General features: G+C 39.7%; 1 protein-coding gene across 8 annotated transcripts in view, besides 1 other annotated feature; it reads right to left on the minus strand.

The window, feature by feature from the left end:
- The window catches only part of OPCML (opioid binding protein/cell adhesion molecule like), a 1,117,521-nt gene that overhangs the window by 193,203 nt on the left and 902,077 nt on the right, over positions 1 to 22,241 (minus strand). The window lies entirely within an intron of this gene.
- Positions 5,227 to 6,426: an enhancer, noted in NCBI's record as "BRD4-independent group 4 enhancer chr11:132483305-132484504 (GRCh37/hg19 assembly coordinates)". NCBI's record gives its function as "activates an origin of replication core promoter dependent on BRD2, P300/CBP, MED14 and CDK7 cofactors, and independent of BRD4, by STARR-seq in HCT116 cells {active_cell/tissue: HCT116}" and the evidence as "EXISTENCE:reporter gene assay evidence [ECO:0000049][PMID:35650434]".

A 22,241-nucleotide genomic window follows, 5' to 3' on the forward strand; every position in this document is an offset into this window, starting at 1 on the left:
GTATGTAAGACATAAACCACAGTTCTCTCAGAAAGCACATGCTCAAATGAATTCTATGTGCTTGACTGCTGTAAGCCATTATGGATCCCTGTATACTTCTAGTCAGCAGCCAGCTCCTTGCATCTTCAGATCCACACTCTGCTCAGAGACACAATACTATGTCTCTGTTTTATCATTCTGACCAGTCCAGGGAAGAGGGACTGCTATTTTTATTTCTTTCTAACACTGGAGGCTGTTCAAACCCTGCCAGTGCAGCTTGTTTTCTTGATTTTAATTAAGTAAGGCTTTACGGTACTTGCTTCAGTAAAGCCCAAGTAATAGAGAGGAGGTTAGTTGGTTGAACCCAGACTCCAGGGTGTCAGTCCCAGCTTTGCTGAAGATGCTGGGCAATCTAGCTTGGCATCTTGTTGTGGAAGAGAATTAATAAAAAATGATTATGTCGCTCTTTGCAAATATGACCTGTAGCAGGAATAATCAATGGTAATAATATAGGACTGGAGCCTCTGGAGAGTAAACTAACCTTTACCAGTGGGTATACTCCAGGAAACCAGCCCCTCCTGGGTCTTCCTAAGGGCTGCCTGGCATTCAGTAGATATACAGGTATTCCAAATAAATGCACGCAATTACTCCAGGGAGTTCCTTTGCTCACCAGAGAATCTGATCACCGCATCATCCTTGCTTCCTCCTGCTCCACTGTGTACCTCCAGTGTGTCGTGAGTTCCAATATATCTGAGATATTTTTCTTTCTTTTCATTGCCACCACTTTGGCCTTGGTCCAAGCCCTTAGTTCCTTTCTGGAATAGTACAACAGGCTTCCAACTGGTCTCTCTGCCTCCCCTGTCTTACTATGATGCAGGCCTTCTTTCATACTAGTGTGAGAGTGACTTTTTTAATACACCGAGAACTGACCCATCACTTCTTTAATTCGTGTTTCTCATCGGCTTCTCACCACATGCAGAATCAATGCCAAACCCTTCTGTGCATGGCATGCAAGGGCAGGGGGTCTCAAAAAGAACTGACATGTAGGTCTGCCTATTCTGTCAGGAATTCACCCCAATGACATAACAAAATAAGTTTTATTATTATTCTCACATCCGGTTTAAAGAAAATGAGAATCAGACCATTTTGGTAGCTTGTCAAAAGTCTTAATGTGAATACTTGACCTCACAGGGTCTAACTTCGAAGGCCGTGTTCTTTCCACCAGGCCTCACTGCCTCATTCACAAGCTACTCCTGGCAGGTTCCGGTTAACATTTCCAGCCACAGTTGTTTCTCTGCCTACCCTCATGCTCTGCTTGGAAAAGCCACACCAAGCAACCCACATTTACCCACCAGCATGCAAATATTCAGGCTGCAAGCCTTTGCACGGAGTGCTGTATGCTTAGCACACCATTCCCACCACGCTTCCTCTTGTAGGGCTCCTCTGTGGCTCAATTCCTGCTCTTCCTTTAAAGAGTCAGTTGAAATGCCACCCATCCAGGAAAGCTTTCTCAGTTCCTTGGGCAAAGTTCATTGTTCCTTCTTTTGTGTTACTTTACAATAGCTATCACCCTTTCATTCATATACCTCTGCGTTAATGCTGCATTATCATTGCACGTGTTTACATTTCACCTACCTACCTCTCTTCAATGCCTGGGAACTGTCTGATCGATATCTGTATCTCTAGTGCCTGGCACAGTATAGGGAGCATGGAAGGTGCTGACATCTACTTTAGTGAATGAGAATAAAGGAAAAATAAAATATCAATCGCAGAAGTTATTCTTTTCCTTGTACTGACATTTGTCTGTCTCTCTAATAACCATCACACACACACACAAATACTTTTTCTCCTTGTAAATTCAGGTTACGTTAACATTTTTCAAATAAATTTAGCAAGGAAAATGCTAAATCAGCTCTGTGTAAATCAAGCAACCATGCTTGTGCATGAGAATCAATTACTCTATATCCCAGTTTTATAAAATAACATTCCTACTGGCACCTGGCTAATTTATAAGCTAGCTTAGGAACACCTATGCCTGCATCTCCAGCCCCTCCTCTCCATAATATAACAGAGTGCTTACATCTAGAGGGATTACTCAGCTGTTTCTTGAGGTTAGTTAGGCAACTCTGCCAAAGCCACTGGAGAAGACACAAACTCCTATAATATAAATATCTGGCTGTAAATCTCTTGCCAGTTACTTTTAACTATGAAAGCTCTATCAGTTTGACCCTTCAGCAGCACAAACCTAAGCTTCCCATCTTCGTTGATGTCATCACTTACGACAAAACACACTAGGAGGAAGGGGTTGAAACCATGGCAAAGTGCAGTTATTTGTATCACATTATCTCACAGGATAGTTGGCTGCCGAAGAGCACTGAGAGAAAATGAACTCGGTGAGAGCAACTTTTGCAATCGTTGCCGCTGAAGACTGGCGCTCGGAACTAGGGGAGTGGGTGGGGGATGCTCGATGGTCTTTGTCATTACTTGCAGCCAAAGAAACCACATCATTATTTCTGAAGGAGACTCTGGCCAGACATTTCATTTGAAAACTGTCATTTTACAAATGTTTAATTACTTCTCAAATGCAAAGGATGACTGCAAATTTGTGATCTGTCGTGTAAGAAGCTATCAACCTCAACCTCCTTGAGTCACTGGAAAGAAAAACATTTTCCATAGAAAATTAAAGCAGTTTGATCACTTTGTATTCAAAATGATTGTTCTGTCTTTCCTATGGCTTTGTTCTCTGATCTCATCTATACCTCAGGGGAGAGCTCCCAGTTAAAGCCCCATGGTGAGCAATGGCTTCTCTCTCTTCCCACTATGCTCATTCCTGGGACTCGAGATTTACTTTAGTTCCAGCTGCATGACTAAGAAATCACCTGAAAATGAACTTCTGATTTTAATTAGGAGAACCCCATGACATTTCTCTGGGATTCTTTGAAGACCTAGCTCATTTGGTTTTCACGTATAAAGTTTGAAGCTGGCCCAGTTTTTAACGGGGGTGGTTGCCATTTCTAACGATGTTGTATGTTCATTTTGACAGATATAAATGAGTAACTTGGTCCCTAGATTTAGATGCAGAGAGGACACAGAAATGAATAAGGAGAAATCTTTGCGTGCTGTAGCTCCGCTGGTCTCTACACCTGGAATGCACCCCCCAGCACCACCCATTTCCCTAACCCCAATCCACTGCCGTTCAGTTCCAATCCTCACTTCTCCACACAGCTTCCTGTGACACCTGCAACTAAAAATAATCCCACCCTTCCTCCATTAGATTTCCCACAGCTTTTTATCTGGAAAATTCTCCCAACATGGATAGTTAATAACCATGTTATATAGTTATTGCTTTTTTCTTTTCTCCTCAGATAGCCTTTAAGTTATTTGAGGACAAGGTTTTTATCTCATGAATTTTGTATTTCTCCAGAGACTAGCATGCAGGAGGCACTGAACACAAATGTGTTATATTAATGAAAGGATAAATTTCCTCAAATTATTTATATTATAGTGGATGTGTGTGGGGAGAAAGGGGGAGGAATACAGTTTGAAGCAGAAAAATGATGTCAGTATTATGAGACGGAAACCAGGGGCTCGACAAATTCCAATGAAAGAAAGTCAGTAATTTAATTGGAGGCAGTAGTAATAATTCAAGGCTGGAGCAACAGCTGTTCTAATCTGCCCAGGACTGAAGGGTTTCTCAGGATGGGAAAAAATGGGACAGTCCCAGGCAAACCTTGATGAGGTGGTCACCCTACTCAAGGCCAAGACTCATTTACAGTAGCGACCGGAGGAGACGTTCCACAGGAAAAACAGCCTGCCACAGCCAGAGAAGGGTTCTGACCTTGGTGTTTGATTATATATGCTGCCAGAAAATGGTATAATAATTTCCTTCAAGTTTTTCTATAACTATTAAGAGTATGGTAACCAGGTTTTTACAAGTTTTCCAAAGGTTAAAGAAGAAATGATTTGGGCTGATTTATATTTCATCAAGAAGAATGTAGGCTGGATCTCAGGAAGAGTTTTCTCACACTAAGTTACCTAGAAGAAAAACCAAGTGTTGTCCACATCCAAAAACCTTTTTCCCTTGGAACGAAACAGCTCTGGAAGTATTAACTTTTTACATTAATTTATTGTGAACGCAATAATGAACATGCACTTATGAAGCATAAGTTTGTAATATAAATAACTGATATTATAGATATTAAAATTAATACAGCTTTCCATTTTGTAGACTAAGTGGCATAATGAGCCAATTCTAGCTCACATTATTTTTCTCAAGCTTTACATGAATAGCAGACTGTGAAACCTGTTTTATCTTGAGCATCTCCTCAATGTGCTGATTCAGTCATACTCCATTCATCAGAACCAGGAAGATGTGGGAGGGGAGAATATCACAGAGGCTGGAAGCTGGGGGTTGATAGCAGGGCAAGGACATAAGACAAATGCTAGCAAGAAAAAAATGGGTCAAATTGGGAATAAGTGGTCACAACCTAAGCAGAGGCTTGAGAAGCCAAAGCAGGTAAACCAGAAACAAATGATCCCCTATAGGGTTGAGGTGCTGTAGGAAATCAGGTTGGGATGAAGCTGAGAGAAGTGCCTCACTCACAGCCAGAGCAAACGTGCACTAGCAAGCCTAGTGAAGCCTTGGTAGATGGTTGGGCTCTGCAGTCCGGTCACCTATTTTCTGCTATTCTGTTTGTGGGAAATTCTGCCCCAGAGAGCCATAAATGCTCCATAAGTGGCTTCTCATCAGATTCAAGGCACAGCCTCAATTCATTCTAGACAGCCAATCAGAGGATGGTTAGAGGAAATCTGTGACTAAGCAATGCATTTAGAAACTTATTCCTGGACGATGTCACATTCCCTAAACTGTGATTTAAAATTAGATAGGGGCAGAACAGATGAAAAGAAACTGGAGAAAAATAATCTCTTCATCTTGCAGAGGAAGTGTCATGAGATGAGCTGCTGGCGGGGATGTCACCCTTTCTGCTCATCCAGGCCTCCTGGAGAGCCTCCTAAGACTAGGCCGATGGCCACTATCCTGGAGAAAAGCACAGAGCATTGTAATCCTGTTCTCTCTAACAAAAAAGCTACGTCTTGGGTAAACCTTTGCCGGTGTACAACAGGATACATGCCCTTTTACAAAAGGAGGAGCTCATTGTTCAGGAATCTAAATCGGGACATCCTCACTGAACTTTAAATCAATTCAAGAAAACCTCAAAGACAGCTATATTTTCAGTCTGTTGCAAGAACTGCATAAACTCAAAACATGCATACGGAACAAAACAAAGCCAGCTAATTGATTTTATATACCTAAGCATTCACCTTTAGGAGAATTCCGTGGGATTCTTCTCTGCCAAACCATTGGAACTGTCCCAAGAAACACTTCAAAGAAAACCGAGGAAATAGATATTGGAATCCCAGTCGTTCTTCCCCATTCCTTGTATGACTAATCTTAGGGGTAACTACAAATGCTGAAAGATGAAATAATATAATGGCCTTTTAGCAGAATGGAGAGGGGCAGCATATAACACCTTGCACTGAATTTAGAGAACAGACATATTTTTTTACTTGAGAAAAGTAGAAATAGTATTATCAAGGCATGCAGAATGGCTGGAGAAAGAAGAAATCTGGGAAGCAAAATTATGGTTGCTGGTGAAATTTCTAGGAGCACATTATATGTGGGTATGCTTGCATGGAATGAACAAAAGAGTCGTCTTTTGAAACCTCTTCTGGGGATGCACTGCTATATTTGTTGAGTTCTCAAGTGCTTATTTTTAGACATGAAGTATGTTACCAAACACATATTTTCCGTGTAGTAATCAGATGACCAGTCAACAAAGTCAATCTATGTTAACTAAATAAATAGATGGGATAAAAGTAGAGATTGTATTCCATAACCATGCCCAAGTAGAAAAAGGCATTCAAGCTGTCCAGAATATGACCCCAACCAACTTTCCCATGCCTTAGGCCTACTGCCTTCTTCAAAAGACTCCCGGTTCCGGTTCAATCCGCTGCTTGTGCTGCCCAGACATGCCCTGTGCTTTGGTACCTGCTGGATTTGGTCTGTTTTTCCCTTTCCTGGAACACCCATCTTCTCCCTGCTTCCCCCATCAGATTTTCCTGAGCCTGAATTTCACCTCCTTGATGAAGCCCTGTCACCATGAAAATCATACCGTTTTTAAATTCAAAGAATTCTGAGTGACCTCTAGCCAACTCTTCGTTTAATAACCTTTGAGACTGAAGCCTGAGAAAATAGGCCTTGCTTGAGGCTCCATAGCAGTGAGTGGCAGTGACACCTTCCTCTTCCGTCCCTCTGCGGGCCTCTGCACTGACGTGTCTTCATGTTATACCGCTTGTGTGTCTGTCTTACTTTCTTCATCACAGTCCCTTCTCTCCCCACGAATGAGCTGCTTATGTAGGACAAGGTCTACCCGAAATGTAGAATCTTGAAAACATAGGGGAATGCCTAACACATGTTAATTCTCTCTAGTTGAAATGAGGAGAGAAAAACAAATCTTTCTCTCAAATTCAATCTATATTCACAGGTAAAATCTTCAGAATGGCATTGATGATGGGATAGGCATTTCCCAAATAAAATTTGGTGTTCTTAAAAGAGGTTGTATCTAAGAGAATTCAGACATATAGAAACAATTTGTGTATTTTCATAAGCTGGAAAGTCCAATAACATACTGAGATTTACGTTTTTGTCACTGACTGTTTTAAACCTGATTATTTTAACAAGCACTTTCTAACTTTTGCCACTGTACTGCCTGACAGTTTTTATTGCCAGTCAGCTGATTAGCTGGAGTGTTCAAGTCAAATTAAAATGTGACACATTTATTGAACATATAAATAATGCACATGTATTTTATTCTACCTATACTCTACAAAGGATTAAAAATGAGAAAAACAGTCTTTGAGCTTCAAGGAGCTTGCGTTTTTATTTATTAATTTTTTCAAAGATGTGCTTACAACATGGGATAGAGCAGAGGAGATAGCTCAAAAATAACAATTTTAAAAGAGTAAGAGGACTACTGGTTATTGCCAATAATACAGGAAATGGATATTTGTGGTCTCCGAGTGAATTATTACAGTATAGGGGAAAGGGTGCAAGTTATAAGGTCTGTCAAAACTTGCAGAAGTTTTTGCTCTGCCATTCATTAGTAGTGGAATCTTGGGAAAACTGCTTCTTGTCTCTAAGCCTTGGTTTTCATCCACGGCATAGGATTAATAATGGTATTTTCCTCAAGGCATCAAGGTGAGGGTTGAATGAAGTAGAGTTGGCTCTCTTTATCAGCGAGTTCCATGTCCACAGATTTAACCAACCACAGAAATACAGCAATAAAAATAACCATATAACAATATAAATAGCAAAAATATAAAACTACAGCATAACAACTATCTATGTAGCATTTACATTTATTAGGTATTATAAGTAATCTAGAAGTGATTTATATGAGAGGAAGTTCATAGATTAAATGCAAGTGCTATGCCATTTTATATAAGGTATTTGAGCATCTGCTGATTTTGGTGTCTGTTGGGGTCCTGGATCCAGTGCTGCATTGATACCGAGAAATGACCGTAATACATGCGAACTACTTAGTAAAGCTCATAGCAGGAACTCAATGAATGTAAGCTATTATTAGTTTCAGGAAAAGAACCTGTAGAGAAGAAGAATCATAGGCAAAGTATATGTTTTAGGAACAAACAGAAGGTGAGTAACCAAGAGGGAAAAAAAGGCAGATTGGCCAGGGCCAAAGCCACAATTGCGAGATGCATAAAAGTAAAGTGAAAGGACGGAGAGCCAATGAATCTAGGCTACACTTGAAGAAGCAGGTCTGTTTATGACTACCTGGTTTTCCCAACACCTATTTGGGCAAAAAAAGATACCTCAGGATATTTTTTTCTGGGGCGTTGGTCAACCTAGAATAATTCTACCTATGCTCAATAAAAACTTTTTTTGTACTTACCATCTAATTCTACCTTCATCTTTGGAGACATGGCTTTCAGTGTGTTTTAAAATGAGATATGAACTATTTTTTGTAACAGAAGACCTTGAGTAGTAAAAGGAAGCTCACCTACTTGTTATACAGTTTACAAGATTTTTACACACACGCATACCGGTTAAACTAATGCACACACTGTTAGTAAAATGTATAGCTGGCACTATTAAATTCTTCCCAAAGTTAGTTTGGTTCACCTCCAGTAATGATAAAGGACATCTTGGATGTTAGAAGCAAGATGGAGTCAGATACTTCAGATTTCTCTTACTGTCATAATTTTGCAAAGGCAGTTTCATATCTATTACCTGTGCTAACTTAGGGATATGTATTAACCTTCTAGGATCTGTTTCTTAATGCATAAAATAAGGGAGTAGAAGAAGATGGTCTCTGAAATCCATTTCTGCTCTAATGTTCTAGATTTTTATTCCTGGGAGTATACATTTTGTAACACTTCTCAAAATTTTTTCACAGACGGTTTTATATCATAGTCTATCAATTGTTTCATTTGTTCATTCACCAAATATACATTAATACCTCCTATGTGAAAGCATATTCAAGGAGAATTTGTTGAGCACCATCTCTGAATTAGGCACTTTGCTACACACAGAAGATAAAATAATGTAAATCATCACTATGTGTCTTTTGTAGGATTATTTCCACACCCCTCAGACTATATTTTAAGCACTTGGAGGACACACTGGTTGTGTCAACCTGAGCACCTAAGATGTGCAATGTGGATGTTTGCTCAATGGAATCAAATTGAATCCCACTTTAATTCTTTTGCCCTCATTTTAATATTTTTAATGGTGAGCAGAGACATTGACAAAGGAGACAGTAGCCATATTTATGAAGTTTTCTTTTCTTTCATTAGAAGTATATGTTGCAGAAGTATATGTTGCAGCAGATCAATGGCTGAAGTAGTCTAGTCCTACTCGAAACATTCTAAGATACTCTGAATCTTTCTATATCTTCTGGATACCAAACCACCACTTCTTAAGAAATCAATAAAATGACCTATTGCTTTCTTGAATGTCAATTGTATTTATGATATGTTAGAAACTATTGGGGAGGGGGTTGAGAAAAATCCAAGGAAGTATTTATTTTGGAGGAGAGACAGAACATATATTCACAAAACAATTCGAGGAAATTCTTTCAACTGAGCAAGAGTTAAACTACACAATAATAGGGCCAGGGAGAGTCTATTTACTCTCCACGTAGACTGAATTGACATTTTCTGTTGAATGTCTGAGGGACACTTCGAAGTCAACATGTGCAGAATGGAACTCAAACCTGGCCTATGTCTAGTGTCCCTCTCCCAGTGATTGGCCCCTCCATGCACTTAGATCCACAAGCCTTAATCATCACCAGTCATAGACATTGACTTCACTTTCTGTAGCCAATGATACTGTCTCAGTCTTCTCAGGCTGCCAGAACAAAATACCACAGGCTGAGTGCCTTGAACAACAGAAATTTATTTTCTTGTAGCCCTGGGGGCTGGGATCTGAGATGAAGTTGGCATCAAGGTTGGCATCTGGTGAGAACTCTCTCCTTCTCTTGTAGACAGTGCCATCTTGCTGTGTCTTCACATGGCCTTTTCTCTGTGCTTACACACATAAAGATCACTGACATCATTCCTCTTCTCATAAGGACACCAGTTCCGTCAGATTGAGGCCCTAACCTTATGAACCCATTTAACTCTCATTACCTCTTCAAAGACCCTGTCTCCCAAAATAATCAAAGTGGGGATTATGGCTTCAATGTATGAATTTTGGGTGAACCTAATTCAGTCTATAACAGGTACCAAGTAAGATAACTCCAGCTTCTTACAGCCGCAGTGTTACAGTGGCTTAATACAACTCTACTGCTTGTTCCTATATTCCAGTTGTTGGGGATGTGGGAGGGGGCGAAGAGCTAGGTTATATGCAGTTATTCAGGAATAAAAGTTGATGGAAGTGCTGCCACCTTCAAAGCATGATGACAGCACCAACTTTGGTCACAGATATCTAGCAGACAGAATGAACACAACGGTAAGGAGTGAGTGTAATTAAAGGCTGGTTTTTTAGTTTGGAGGGAGCTATTTATTTTTGTTTGGTGAATAGCTAGCTTGTCTGTCATACCAAATTCTTTTCAACATTCTTCAAAAATACTGGCCAACATGGTGAAACCCCATCTGTACTAAAAATACAAAAATTAGCCAGATGTGGTGGTGCACCTCTAATCTCAGCTACTCAGGAGGCTCTGGAAGGAGACTCACTTGAACCCGGGAGGCGTAGGTTGCAGTGAGCCGAGATGGCACCATTGCACTCCAGCCTGGGTGACAGAGCAAGACTCTGTCTCAAAAAACAAAAATACTTCTCAAATCTACCCACTTCTTTTCACCTTCACTACCCAACAATCTAGTTCAGAATATCATTGTGAACTAGATTGTTCACACTGAACGGATTTACCACAAAAACCTACCAACTTCTTTATCCACATAGATCTTGTAATTGATTTTATTTTAGTAAAATATACATAATATAAAATTTGCTATTTTAACCATTTTAAAGTGTACAGTTTTGTGGCATTAATTACATTTAAAATATTGTGCAAGCATCACCACTCTATGTCTCCAGAACTTTCCCATCATTCCAACCTCATTTAATGCACTTCTTAAACAATAAGTTTCCATTCATTCCTCCCCCACTCCTTGTAACCTGCTCTTGACCAAGTCCAATTGCCCCTGCAGCCAGAATAATCTCCTAAAAAGTCTAATCATTTAATCATTGTACACACACAAGCACACGCATACACACACACACACACACACACACACACACACACACACACACACACCGTGTTTAGAATTTCAAATGTTTCCCTATGGTTTCGAGGGAAAGCATGGAAGCTCCTGCGATGACTGGCACCCTCTGGAGCTCTCACCATAGCTATCTCTTTAACCTGATCTAAAAACACCTCCCCTCCAGGTTCGGTACTCCAGCCAGCCAAAATGGTCCTTCAGAGCTTCACGTTCCTCAAGCTCTGTCGCTTCCTCAGCAAAGCCATCTCACAACTTCCCAAGTAGGCCGGGCCTGCCCATTATGGAGTCTCATAGCACTCCCCATTTCTTTCAGAATATGTATTGCATTACTACATATATCTTCCTAATTCTGTAATAGAATCTCTCTTCCTATTGGACCTCAGATTTCACAAAGGCAGAGACTGCACTGTTTATGTTCACTATTTTATTTCTAGTACCAAACACAGTGCCTAGTGTATGGTAGGCATTTGATGAATAAATTATGAATGAACAGCTGAATGCTAGTGGCATCAGCAAAGGTTGAAATCAGAGTTACACAGAAAACGGCTTGGAATAAAGGAGCATGAAAGCATTGGTAAAATTGGCCTAAAACGGCCGGGTGCGGTGGCTCATGCCTGTAATCCCAGCACTTTGGGAGGCCGAGGCAGACGGATCACGAGGTCAGAGATCAAGACCATCCTGGCTAACATGGTGAAACCCCGTCTCTACTGAAAATACCAAAAAAAAAAAAAAAAAAATTAGCCGGGCGTGGTGGCGGGCGCCTGTAGTCCCAGCTACTCGAGAGGCTGAGGCAGGAGAATGGCATGAACCCGGGAGGCGGAGCTTGCAGCGAGCGGAGATCTCGCTACTGCACTCCAATCTGGGTGACAGAGCCAGACTCCATGTCAAAAAAAAAAAAAAAAAATTGGCCTAAAACAATGGGAAAATATTCCCTAGTGAATGAAACAGCATAATTAATTAATTTGCTATTTTATTATTATTCATTTGACATTAAATCTATTTAGCATGTCACCTTAAAAAACTCAGTGAAATTTTCTCTTAATTTTCTCTATGGAAAAATAAGAGATTTTCTTAATTTTAGAGCATGCCTTTCTTTGAAGGAAAGGAGAAGAAAAATCAATACTGTTGAATAGTAACCACTGTGTAAGCAATTTCACATGAGATTATATTTGATATTGAGGTTCTCTTAAAAGAGTAACTATGACATTTCTACTGCATCCTTGAAAGCTTTCACAAAGAATGAATCCAAGTCAGAGCCATATACTAATGCATTGAAACTCACAGACATAAAACACAAGACTAGAACTTGGTCATTCAAACCCTCAGATAAGTTGTTTCTTTCTCAGTCCAATATCCCAGTTACACACTCACATTTCAGCTCTTGAGAAATTGGATGGATTGGTAATATTGATCAAGCCTAGTTAATATGTTAAGGAATTTTTCTCCAAACTATCTTACTGCTGTGTCCCTAGAAAACAGACCCTGAGGAAGTGATTAAATGCCAATGCCTTATTTTTGTGGTGAAATCACATGGCAGAGAGATGGAAGGCTAAGGGGAATCAGGAAGGGAAAAACAGGAAGCAACCCAAGGTGACGCTTTACCAACACTGGCTACATAGCAACAATGAACAGGGGAGAGAAACAGCTGGTGACTTGGCAGGTGTTTCTGCTCAGCCATGCAGGATGTCTACAAAGGGACCCTAGAGAGAGTGTATGCCTTGGAATCATTGGTTCTCAGAAAGAACAGATAGAGAATGCGTTGACCTGGCTCTCTCTCATCTCATGTCCTGTCTTCCTTTGGTGTAAGTTTGCTTCACAGGGAGTGAACACCTTGGATGTCTAGATTGCCATCCATGGCCCCTGCAGCAATCACTAGAGAAGCCAGATCCCATGCCCTGAAGAATCACATTTCATCTGAGGTTGGGTGCAGCAGAGGAGCCAGAGATTTTGGAGGCTCAGCTGGTCAGCTTCAAAAGGTGGAACTGCAAGGTCATGCCAGCTACAATGGCAGAGGTATCTGAGCAAGCAAACAAAGGTTTGAGAGTCAAGGAAGCCAACAGAATCTGAGGACCCATGTAGGACACGTGTGACACACAAGGCTTTTGAAGGATTGGTGCATTTAATGTGGTTAGCTTGTAAATTCTAACCTCCTCTCATAGCTACCAGATGGCTACAATTTTAAAAGGCTAATAATACTGTCTTGCTGAGGATGCATCTTAAGTGAAACGTTCAAATATTGCTGCAGGGAGTTGGCTCAACTGTGTTAGAAAACTGTCTGGTAATTTCTATTAAATCTGAACATGCATCACTTTATGCCCCCAAATTCAACTTCTAGGTATTTTCCCAATAAAAATTAGTAGTTGTACATTCAAAGGACATGAATAAAAATGTTCAGAGCAATTTTATTCAAAATGGCTAAAAGATAAAAACCAACCAGTGTTTATCATAAGAGAATGAACAAATAGATTATGGAATCTGTAAATGGAAAGCTACTCAGCAATTAAAAAATGAACTATTAAAACACACACAGCATGGAAGGATATCACAGATATTATGTTGAGTGAAGGAAGCTGCACACAAATGAGTACCTCCTAGATGAATCCATTTATATGAAGCTGAGGAGAGGCACACTAGTGATGATGTTTGGGGAGGGATTAAATGGGAAAGGGCGTGATTAGAGCTTCTGGAACAATGCAATGTGTTATATGTTGATCTGCATAGTGTTTGTACAGGTGATTACACATATATAAGTTCTCCTTGCTGTACATATAAGATCTCTGTCCTTTTTTGCATGTAGCTATGCCTCAGTTACACACACACACTCCAAACTGCTCTCTTCCTGAGGTTTTATGGAGTAAGTTTGCCATGAAAACATATGGATAAGAGCACAAAAACCCATAGCTTTTGGATGTGTCCACTAAAATCTTTTGTGTAGGAGACATGGAATACATTTTCCCTCCATGGAATTTGTAGACACTACAAGAAAAGAACTGGTTTCCAATTATTGAAATAGAGATTAGCCATCATCTCTTTCTACCTTTAGAGCCCAGACAGCTACAATTAAAATAATTGATTATAAAAGAGAGAACAAACATTTAGGCCAAAATAAGGCACCAAATGAATCACACAGACTGCTAAAAAATATTTGCTTTCTGTTCCAAGAAGAATGATGAGAATAATAAAAAAAAAAAGTTGACTCACAAAGAAAACAGAAGGTTGACAAAGCTTTAGTCCGGCAGTAAAGATCAAAATTCAAGTCCGTCAAGTGACAAGAGAAAAATCTCAGGGAGAATAACAATGAATAGAGGGGAAAGGCATCCTAAAAAGAGGAGTCAAACAACAAAGACAACTGAAGAAAGGGGGCCTCTTACAAAAGAGCAAACATGAAAAGAGGAGAGAGAAGCGTGGAAACCTGTATAAAGGCCACTGAAGAAGCCAAGAGCACAAAAAAAGGACTTGAGATGAGAAATAAAAATGGAAAAGATTAAAAGGAAGAGGTGAAATGGCAGAGAGAGAGGGACTAACCAACTGCTCTTGGAAAAACATGGCTGTGCTAGGAAATTGACGTTTTCACGCCAGTGGGAGTCGAGCCTGATGTGGGTCAGGAGGCCTCTTCATCTGTTCTGCTGGCTTCAGCTGGCCAGCCCTGGAAGTCCAGTCCAGCCAGGACCTCAGTGGAGGAGAACTCTCAGGACCAGGAGACAATGGCAGTGCTTCTCAGATCCCATGGCCCTAGGATGGAACCATGGGGGGCTGCTAAGAGAGTTCCCCATCTCTCCAAGGTACCACATTGCGCTTTGGAGGCTGTAGTGCCCTTGTCTTGTGTTGATCCTGGTTGCAAGCATTTATCATATTGCACTAGTATTGGGGAAGCATCTCCATGCAGTGGACAGGAAAAGAATTTGGAATCAGAAACCTGGGTTTGATATTTAGTTCTCTACTTACTGTACAGCCTCAGGCAACTCATCGTATCTCTTTGACCCTCAACTTCCTCAACTCTAAATGGCGGTCATTTAAACGAGATAATGCGGAAGAAAGAATTTCATCCAACAGAAAGTACCTTATAAATTTTAGTAATTTTATTATCAGTTTGGGCTATTTGGAGGATGTTGGAAGCCTCAGGTCATTTGCTAATAAGGTCAAAGGGGAAAAACACACACATTCTGAATGGATGTCTTGGGTTAATGTTTGCTCCACAAACGAAAATGCTGGCATCTGTTTCTGAGCGGTAAAACCCCTGAGGCAGAGCACATAAACCCAAGTTTATTAAGAAGTGTGACTACCTATCAAATATGAAACAGCCTTGGCTCTGAGCTTCACTTCGCCTGGAAATTTTAAATGGCTCCTTCATCGCCCACAGTTGCACCTATCTAGTGTGTTTTGAAGAACTGGGACGTTAAAAACAACAACAAAAAAACAGAGCTGATTAATGACTGCAAAAGCTGTTTTGGGGGAAAAAAAAGAGAAAAGTTGTTGTCCTATTATATCTCTGAAAAAAATGAGCATTTTATTGCTTCTACAAATTGCTCCCTGGAAAGTACTTCCATTTTCTAATTGTTCATAAATTTACTGACAGGTGGTTACACAGTAGGTATAACATCGTTATTTTCATTTTATTATATACACTGTTTTAACGAGAAAATCTGGAAGGGCTGGGTATCATATATCATCCGACATATCCTGAAAATGTGTGGGTGGGCAGGCATGGCCCAAGGCTGCTACTTCCCCTAGCATGCCTAGGTCTGATGCCCCTGGCACAGGGTCAATTTGGACAGCTGTGACTGGTTGAAATACATTAAGATGATGACAGTAAAAATACATTGCTTTTCTATGCTTACTCTTTTGCTTAAAAAATAATATTAAAGAATAGTCTCCACTTTCACTGAAAGAACTGTCACAAGTTTTCATTACTAGAAACAAGAGAAATTTGGGGGCTTATACGTACACTACACACTTGATATTTGATGACCATTAGTCGTGTTGGATGGATTGCTCTTTTCAATTTAACATATGTTGGTGCTCCCACTTCAGATTCTTGAGTCTGTGAAGCTGAGAGTTGTTTCAGCACTGCTAAGTGTATCTGCAACATCTAATGTTTTGGTGAGATCATAATAAGGACTCAATAAATATTTGCAATTTAGTGTTCCAACTATTCTTCAACATTTATTTGTAGGGATTCATATATTGATTAATAAAGCTATCCTCTCATGGAAATAATAACCTTATGGTTTAAATAAAGGCAACTGTAGGCAAATGCATTCAGCAAACAGGCTCAAGTGTTTATGAGAACTGAAGAGGTAGAACAAGTTTGTATAGTTGGCTTCCCACCACACCCTTACTGAAACTGCTCATATCACTATCATGGTATGATAACAAGGTTATCATTAACATCCACATAGCTGGCTTTGTTTCCTTTCACATTTCTCAATAGATTTTGAAGCCGTTGGCCACTTTTTTCTTGTAGAAATACTCTTTTCTTATTTCTGTGATATCACGCACCTCATACTCTCTGTATGCCTCTACCGACTCCTTCCATTCTCTTCCAGGGGTCCCTTGTCCTCTATGTAACCTCAGATCACTGGGCTCCAATGATTACATCACAGCCCTTCTCTGCTTGCTCTACCCACTACACCATGTTGATCTCACTGATCCAAGTTTCCAGTCATAACTCCACTCGTTCTACCCATTCCTCCATGTTGGTCTCATTGATCATAGTTTCTAGTCGTAACTCCACAGTCTCTTCAGCAGCTAAATCCTTATCTTCCGGGAGGCACAAACATCTCAGTTCCTGCAGGTTACCTCATGCTTTACGTGTCCGAAACAAATCCTCATACTCACTCCTGCTCTTTCTTTTCTTTTTTCTATTATCAAACATGCCACGTTATTAGGGTTGCTAGATTTAGCAAGCACAGCAACAGGACATCCAGTTAAATTGGAATTTCAGATCAGCATCAAATCATTTTTTATTCAAATTTAACTGGGTATCCTGTATTTTTTCTGGCAACTGTACCCCCAGCCAGTTGCCAAAACCTAAAACAAAAGACCCAACTTCAACACTTCCCTCTCTCTTGTTCCCCCCAAAATAATATGTTTAAACCTACTTTTCTATTATTTTGAATGGATGGAATACTTTTATTTATGTTCAAAATCAACATTGTTATACAAGGTCCTGTCACTTCTTACCTGGATTCTCTCAAGTGCCTCCTGTCTGTTCATTGTTTTTTGTTTTTTTCTCCTGCCTCACCTCCCTCCACTCTGCACCCTACAACACCATCTTGCTGATTTTTGCAGATCAGGTTAAGTTACATGAACAGGGACCAGAAAAGGAGCACCAATGTAGTAGGTTTCTTCAGAGAGGGGTGTTGTGAAGAGGTGTATATTTTAGAAGCAGTCCATGATCTGAGTGGGGCTTGTTGACTCCTGTCACCTCAGATGTTTCTTCCTCCCTCTGTCAGCACTAATATCCGCCATGTTATACAGCCTCTAAGTCACCACCATAATCTCCAGCATCTCTGAGCCGAGGCAGTTACTTATGCCTCTGCCAGAAACAGCTCTGTTCATCCCCTCAGAATGCAGATTAGAGGGCATCTCTTCAGGAAAGAAGAGATTCACATTTCCTAAATGTGAAACTGAAATAAGGTGCTTTCCTATGTGCTAACACGTCACACACATACACCAATGTTGTAGGAGTTGTGTGTCTGCTTGTATTTCTGTCTCCAAAACCAGACCATGAGCTGTTTGAAAACAGACATGATGTCTCTTATTTCTGCATACCCAGCATCTAGCATGGTGTCTGGCATCAGTGACCTCTCAACAGGTATATGTGATGTGAGGAAGAACAGCCATACATGCAAATATCTTTCAAATTCCTAATTGTAATGGGTCCTGGGAGTCCTGACTGATGCTAGCCATTTTGAAATGCCTCTAATAGAACTGTTGGAACTATAGGCTGTCTTCTCCATGCATATTGGCCACATCTCTATTGTAGCACTTGTTATATTGTTTGAATCATATGTTTAAATACATGTCTCCATTTATTTTTTCAAGAAACATTCATTGAACTCCTCCTACAAGGTAGGCACCAGGCCATATGTAGTCCCTTTCCTCAAGGAGCTTGCAGCATTTGGTATAAATAAAACAAGTAAGGACGTTAATAGATAAAGCATCTCAGGCACTATACTAGATGCATGAACAGGGTAAAATGGGGCTTAGAGGAGGAAATGGTCACTCCTTCTGGGGCATGGCTGGAACATTTTACAGAAGGACTGACACTAAACAGATTCTGAAAGATGATCGGGAGTACCACCTGACAAGGGAGTACAGGTGTTGCAGGCATGGACCTGAGCAACTCTCAGCCTATTCAAGGCACTCCAAGGAGCTGTAGAGGCTGGGGCATAGGGGGAAGATAAAGCTGGACAAAAAAGAAAAAGTAAGATACTATGAGGAATAAATGCAAAGATAGGGAATTTGGAAACCACAGAAGGATTTTAAGTTGGGAAAGAAATAAGATTAATATGACTAGATTTTGATGTTAAAAATATATGTATGTTATGAATTCAGATAAGGTGTATAGAAGATAGGGAAAAGGCTTATAAAAATGAAAACTTAGCTTATCTATATGAATGAATTTTTCTCCAGTAAGGGCCTCGTGACATGGCTCAAAGCAATCTTTGTAGGAGTGGCTTTAGGATTAGAACAAACTGCTTCATTGTTATTTGGTATGAGCCTTTAAAAAAAAAAAACATGCATTTACTAATCAAGCTGCCCTGAGTTTTGGATTATACACTTTCAAATTTGTTCTTTTCTGAAAATATCTCTGCTGTACAGAACGGTTTTAAAGGGAAGTTTCTCTCTCTCTCTCTCTCTCTCTCTCTCTCTCTCTTTCTGTGTGTCTATATATATAGACACACACATACATATACATATATGTTTTATATATATAAAACATATATAAAGCTTTATATATATAGCTTTAAAAAATCATTTTTCCTGATATATTCAAATGATGAAACACATCACACCTGCCAACACTAAAAAGCTATAAATAGAGAATGAAGTATAAATCTAGAAAGATAAATAAGCAGATCCATTCTATATCTATTGCAATTAGGAGAGTATTTTAGTAGCAAACGAGAGGGAAATGATTACTGAATTGCTTACAAAACTTAGGAAGAGGAGATATAAGATATATAATGGCCAGAAAAACTATGTATATATTGAAAGAATCATTATGAAAGTGATATGAATTATCTAATAACTCCAACATCACAAATGAATTTATTACATTCACTAACCTGTAGGTGAAATGTCAAACATCCTCTTTAAAATAGAAAAAAGAACAGTTCAACCCAAATATTGCAGCCATCTTTACATCAGGAATATTGAGGGTGGGTGTTTTAGCCATAATTCCTAATGTTAAGTATTAATGCTTTAGATATATTGAGCATTTTCTATATATAGCACAATCTATCAGGATATAGAGATGCAATGACATGTAGGTATGGCCTCTGCACTTGCACAGTTTACACTATGGTGGTGGAGACAGAGAAGTAAATTATTATGATCAAATGCTGAGATGCAGTTGTGTTCTAACAAAACATCATGAATTTGTGGAGGAGGAAGTGAACTGTCTGGAGTGGTCATGGAGTCTTTAATGAGCTGAGTTTCAGATGATCGACATGTAGATGATTTCAGCTAGATAAGTCATGAAGCAACATTCTCTGTGGAGAGAACAGCATGCAAAATGGCAATAGTGATTAAGTTCTGTACTAGCCTAGTAGTAAGTGAAAATAACAGATTTGCCCTCAGGGAGCATCCAAGTTAAAGGGAAAGCTGATGCATTTACAATAGACAATAATAAAGCAAATTCAATCGAAGCTCATTTCCATAACTTTGGGAAGAAGAGTTTGGTAAGACTAAGGTAGTGTTTTGAAGTGGAGGTGGAGCTTGAACTGGGCCTCGTATAATGTGTAATATTTGGAAAGGTGATAGTAGTGAAGAAAAAGGGAATGTAGAGAAAGCATATTTAAATCTAGGCTGAAATTTTTTTGATTTGACATGAAATAAAAAAATAAGGGGATATTTACAGATTTGCAAGCAGGTAAGAAAAAGCAGTGTTTAAAGATTAGACTGCCCTAGGTATGCAGAATTGCTGAGAGAGGACAGAAGACAGGAGCCAGGAAGGTGAGATGGGAGGGCATGGTGTTACCTTGGCGTAAGTAATGAGGGGATGGAAGAGAGCCATGAACAGAGAAGGAGAGAGCCAGAGCCACACGGCTCACGTTACCAAGGGAAAAATGAGTGAATTGAAGAAGGTTTGGATAAAGAGGTTAGAAGAAAAGTATAATTGTAATGTTTGGAAACTGTATGAAAAAAGCATTTTTCAAATTTTACTGGCAACAAAAAAAATTTGAGAATTGTTTCTGTTGACATGTGTGTGATTCCTGTCTTTATTTTCTTTATTCTGATGCTTTGGCATCTGGGGTCTTGCTGACCTTGGAAGCACTACCCCTCCCAGGATTAGTCAATTTTCAGAAATAGGAAAGGACTCACCTGTAAGTGAATTAACCTTCTATATGCAAAGGAACCAATCTAGAGGCCACAGCTTCAATCATCTCCTTCCTCAGGCTCTCCCACTCTGGGCCACTATCGCCTGCCCTGATTACCCTAGGGCCAGGTACCAGATAATTACACCCTTACACCACCTGTGTCCCCAGCCAAATCTCATCTTGAATTGTAGTTCTCATAATCCCCACGTGTCGTGGGAGGGACCCAGTGGGAGGTAATTGAATGAGGGGGGGCAGTTACCCTCATGCTGTTCTCATGATAGTGAGTGACTTGTCACGAGATCTGCTGGTTTTATAAGCAGCTTTTCCGTCTTTGCTTGGCACTTCTTGCTGCTGCCATGTGAAGAAGGATGTGTTTACTTCCCCTTCCGCCACAATTGTTAAGTTTCCTGAAGCCTTCCCAACCATGCTGAATTAAACCTCTTTCCTTTATAAATTACCCAGTCTTGGGTGTGTCTTTATTAGCAGGATGAGAATGGATTACTACACACCTTCACTTTCACCCCAGAGCCCACTGAAATTATTCAGGCCAACCCATCCTAAGCCTGCTTGCCCTGCCCTGCTCTTTCCTTCCCATGGAAAGCACAGTAACACTTTCCTCTCACTTCTTCTGCTTCCCAGCCCAACCTGGTGCTTCCCTGCTTGGTCCTGCGTCATACGCTGTGCCCCTGTTTCCAAGAATCTGTGAATATAATGAACTTCTTCCTCGTGACAGTCATCTCCATGTCTGCATGTCCTACCATATCTAATTAAAGCAAATCCCAGGTGTCTGATTAAAACAACTTACTGAGTACAGTAGATAATGCTTGGCTTGCTTATGCAGTCTAGCTGATCAGAAGATAAATGAGAATTATATGCAACAAAATTATTGTCTTTAGTTTCTACTTGGACCACACAGACATGACCTTAGCTATGATCGGCTAATTTACATATAATCTTCAGTGAGGTTTTATCTGGATTAATGATGTCCTCATTGCATATGAAAATAGGGGTAACTCAAGAAACTTTCAGAAGTTAGTACCAAAATACTGTTACATAACCACTGTCTTTTATTATGCCAATAATATCCTCTTTTAAAATGTCAGAAACATCTAAAAATGATTTTTTGCTTTATTTTGTTTTTTTCCTACTTGGCCCCAGGTGCAGCGTTGAGTTCATCATATTCTTTAGTTTATGATACTCTGTCATCTTTGGTTTGTGGAAGGTTGTTCTACTTAAAACCAAGCAGATAAAGAAAACTGGAAAACATATTAACTAGAAACATGTCAAGCAGATAATTAACATTATTCTGTAAGTTGGCCATAATAATGGATATAAAGAAAATAAAAGGCACTAATAAGTTAAAAAGAAACAAGAATAGATATTTTGAAATCTAGATGTAAAAATTGTTAACCTAAGTATGTTCATAAAATAATCTAATCCACTTAGTATGAACGAATTGTACATTAAAAGGTCATTTTTCAATGACTATACTGGCGTTTAAAAAAATTAAAACAATAGTGAGAAAGTTGTGGTTAACAAGGGCACTGTTAACAATTGTTGGTGAGGTATACGTTATTTTACAAAGCAATCCACAATATGTATCTCAGCCCTTTAAAATGTTCTTATCCCTTAAGGCAGTGATTATACACCAATTAATTCTTACTAAAGAATAACAAACATCAAATGTCAATGTATGAAGATGTTCATCACACTGTTATTTATGACAATAAGGAAAAGCTATTTGGAGTAGTGAAGAAATGGTAGGACTGGGCACCGTGGCTCACACCTGTAATCCCAGCACTTTGGGAGGCTGAGGTGGGGCGGTCACGAGGTCAAGAGATTGAGACCATCCTGGCCAATATGGTGAAACTCTGTCTCTACTAAAAATACAAAAATTAGCTGGGCGTGGTG

The sequence above is a fragment of the Homo sapiens genome, chromosome 11, assembly GCF_000001405.40.
Source record: "Homo sapiens chromosome 11, GRCh38.p14 Primary Assembly".
NCBI lineage: Eukaryota > Metazoa > Chordata > Mammalia > Primates > Hominidae > Homo > Homo sapiens.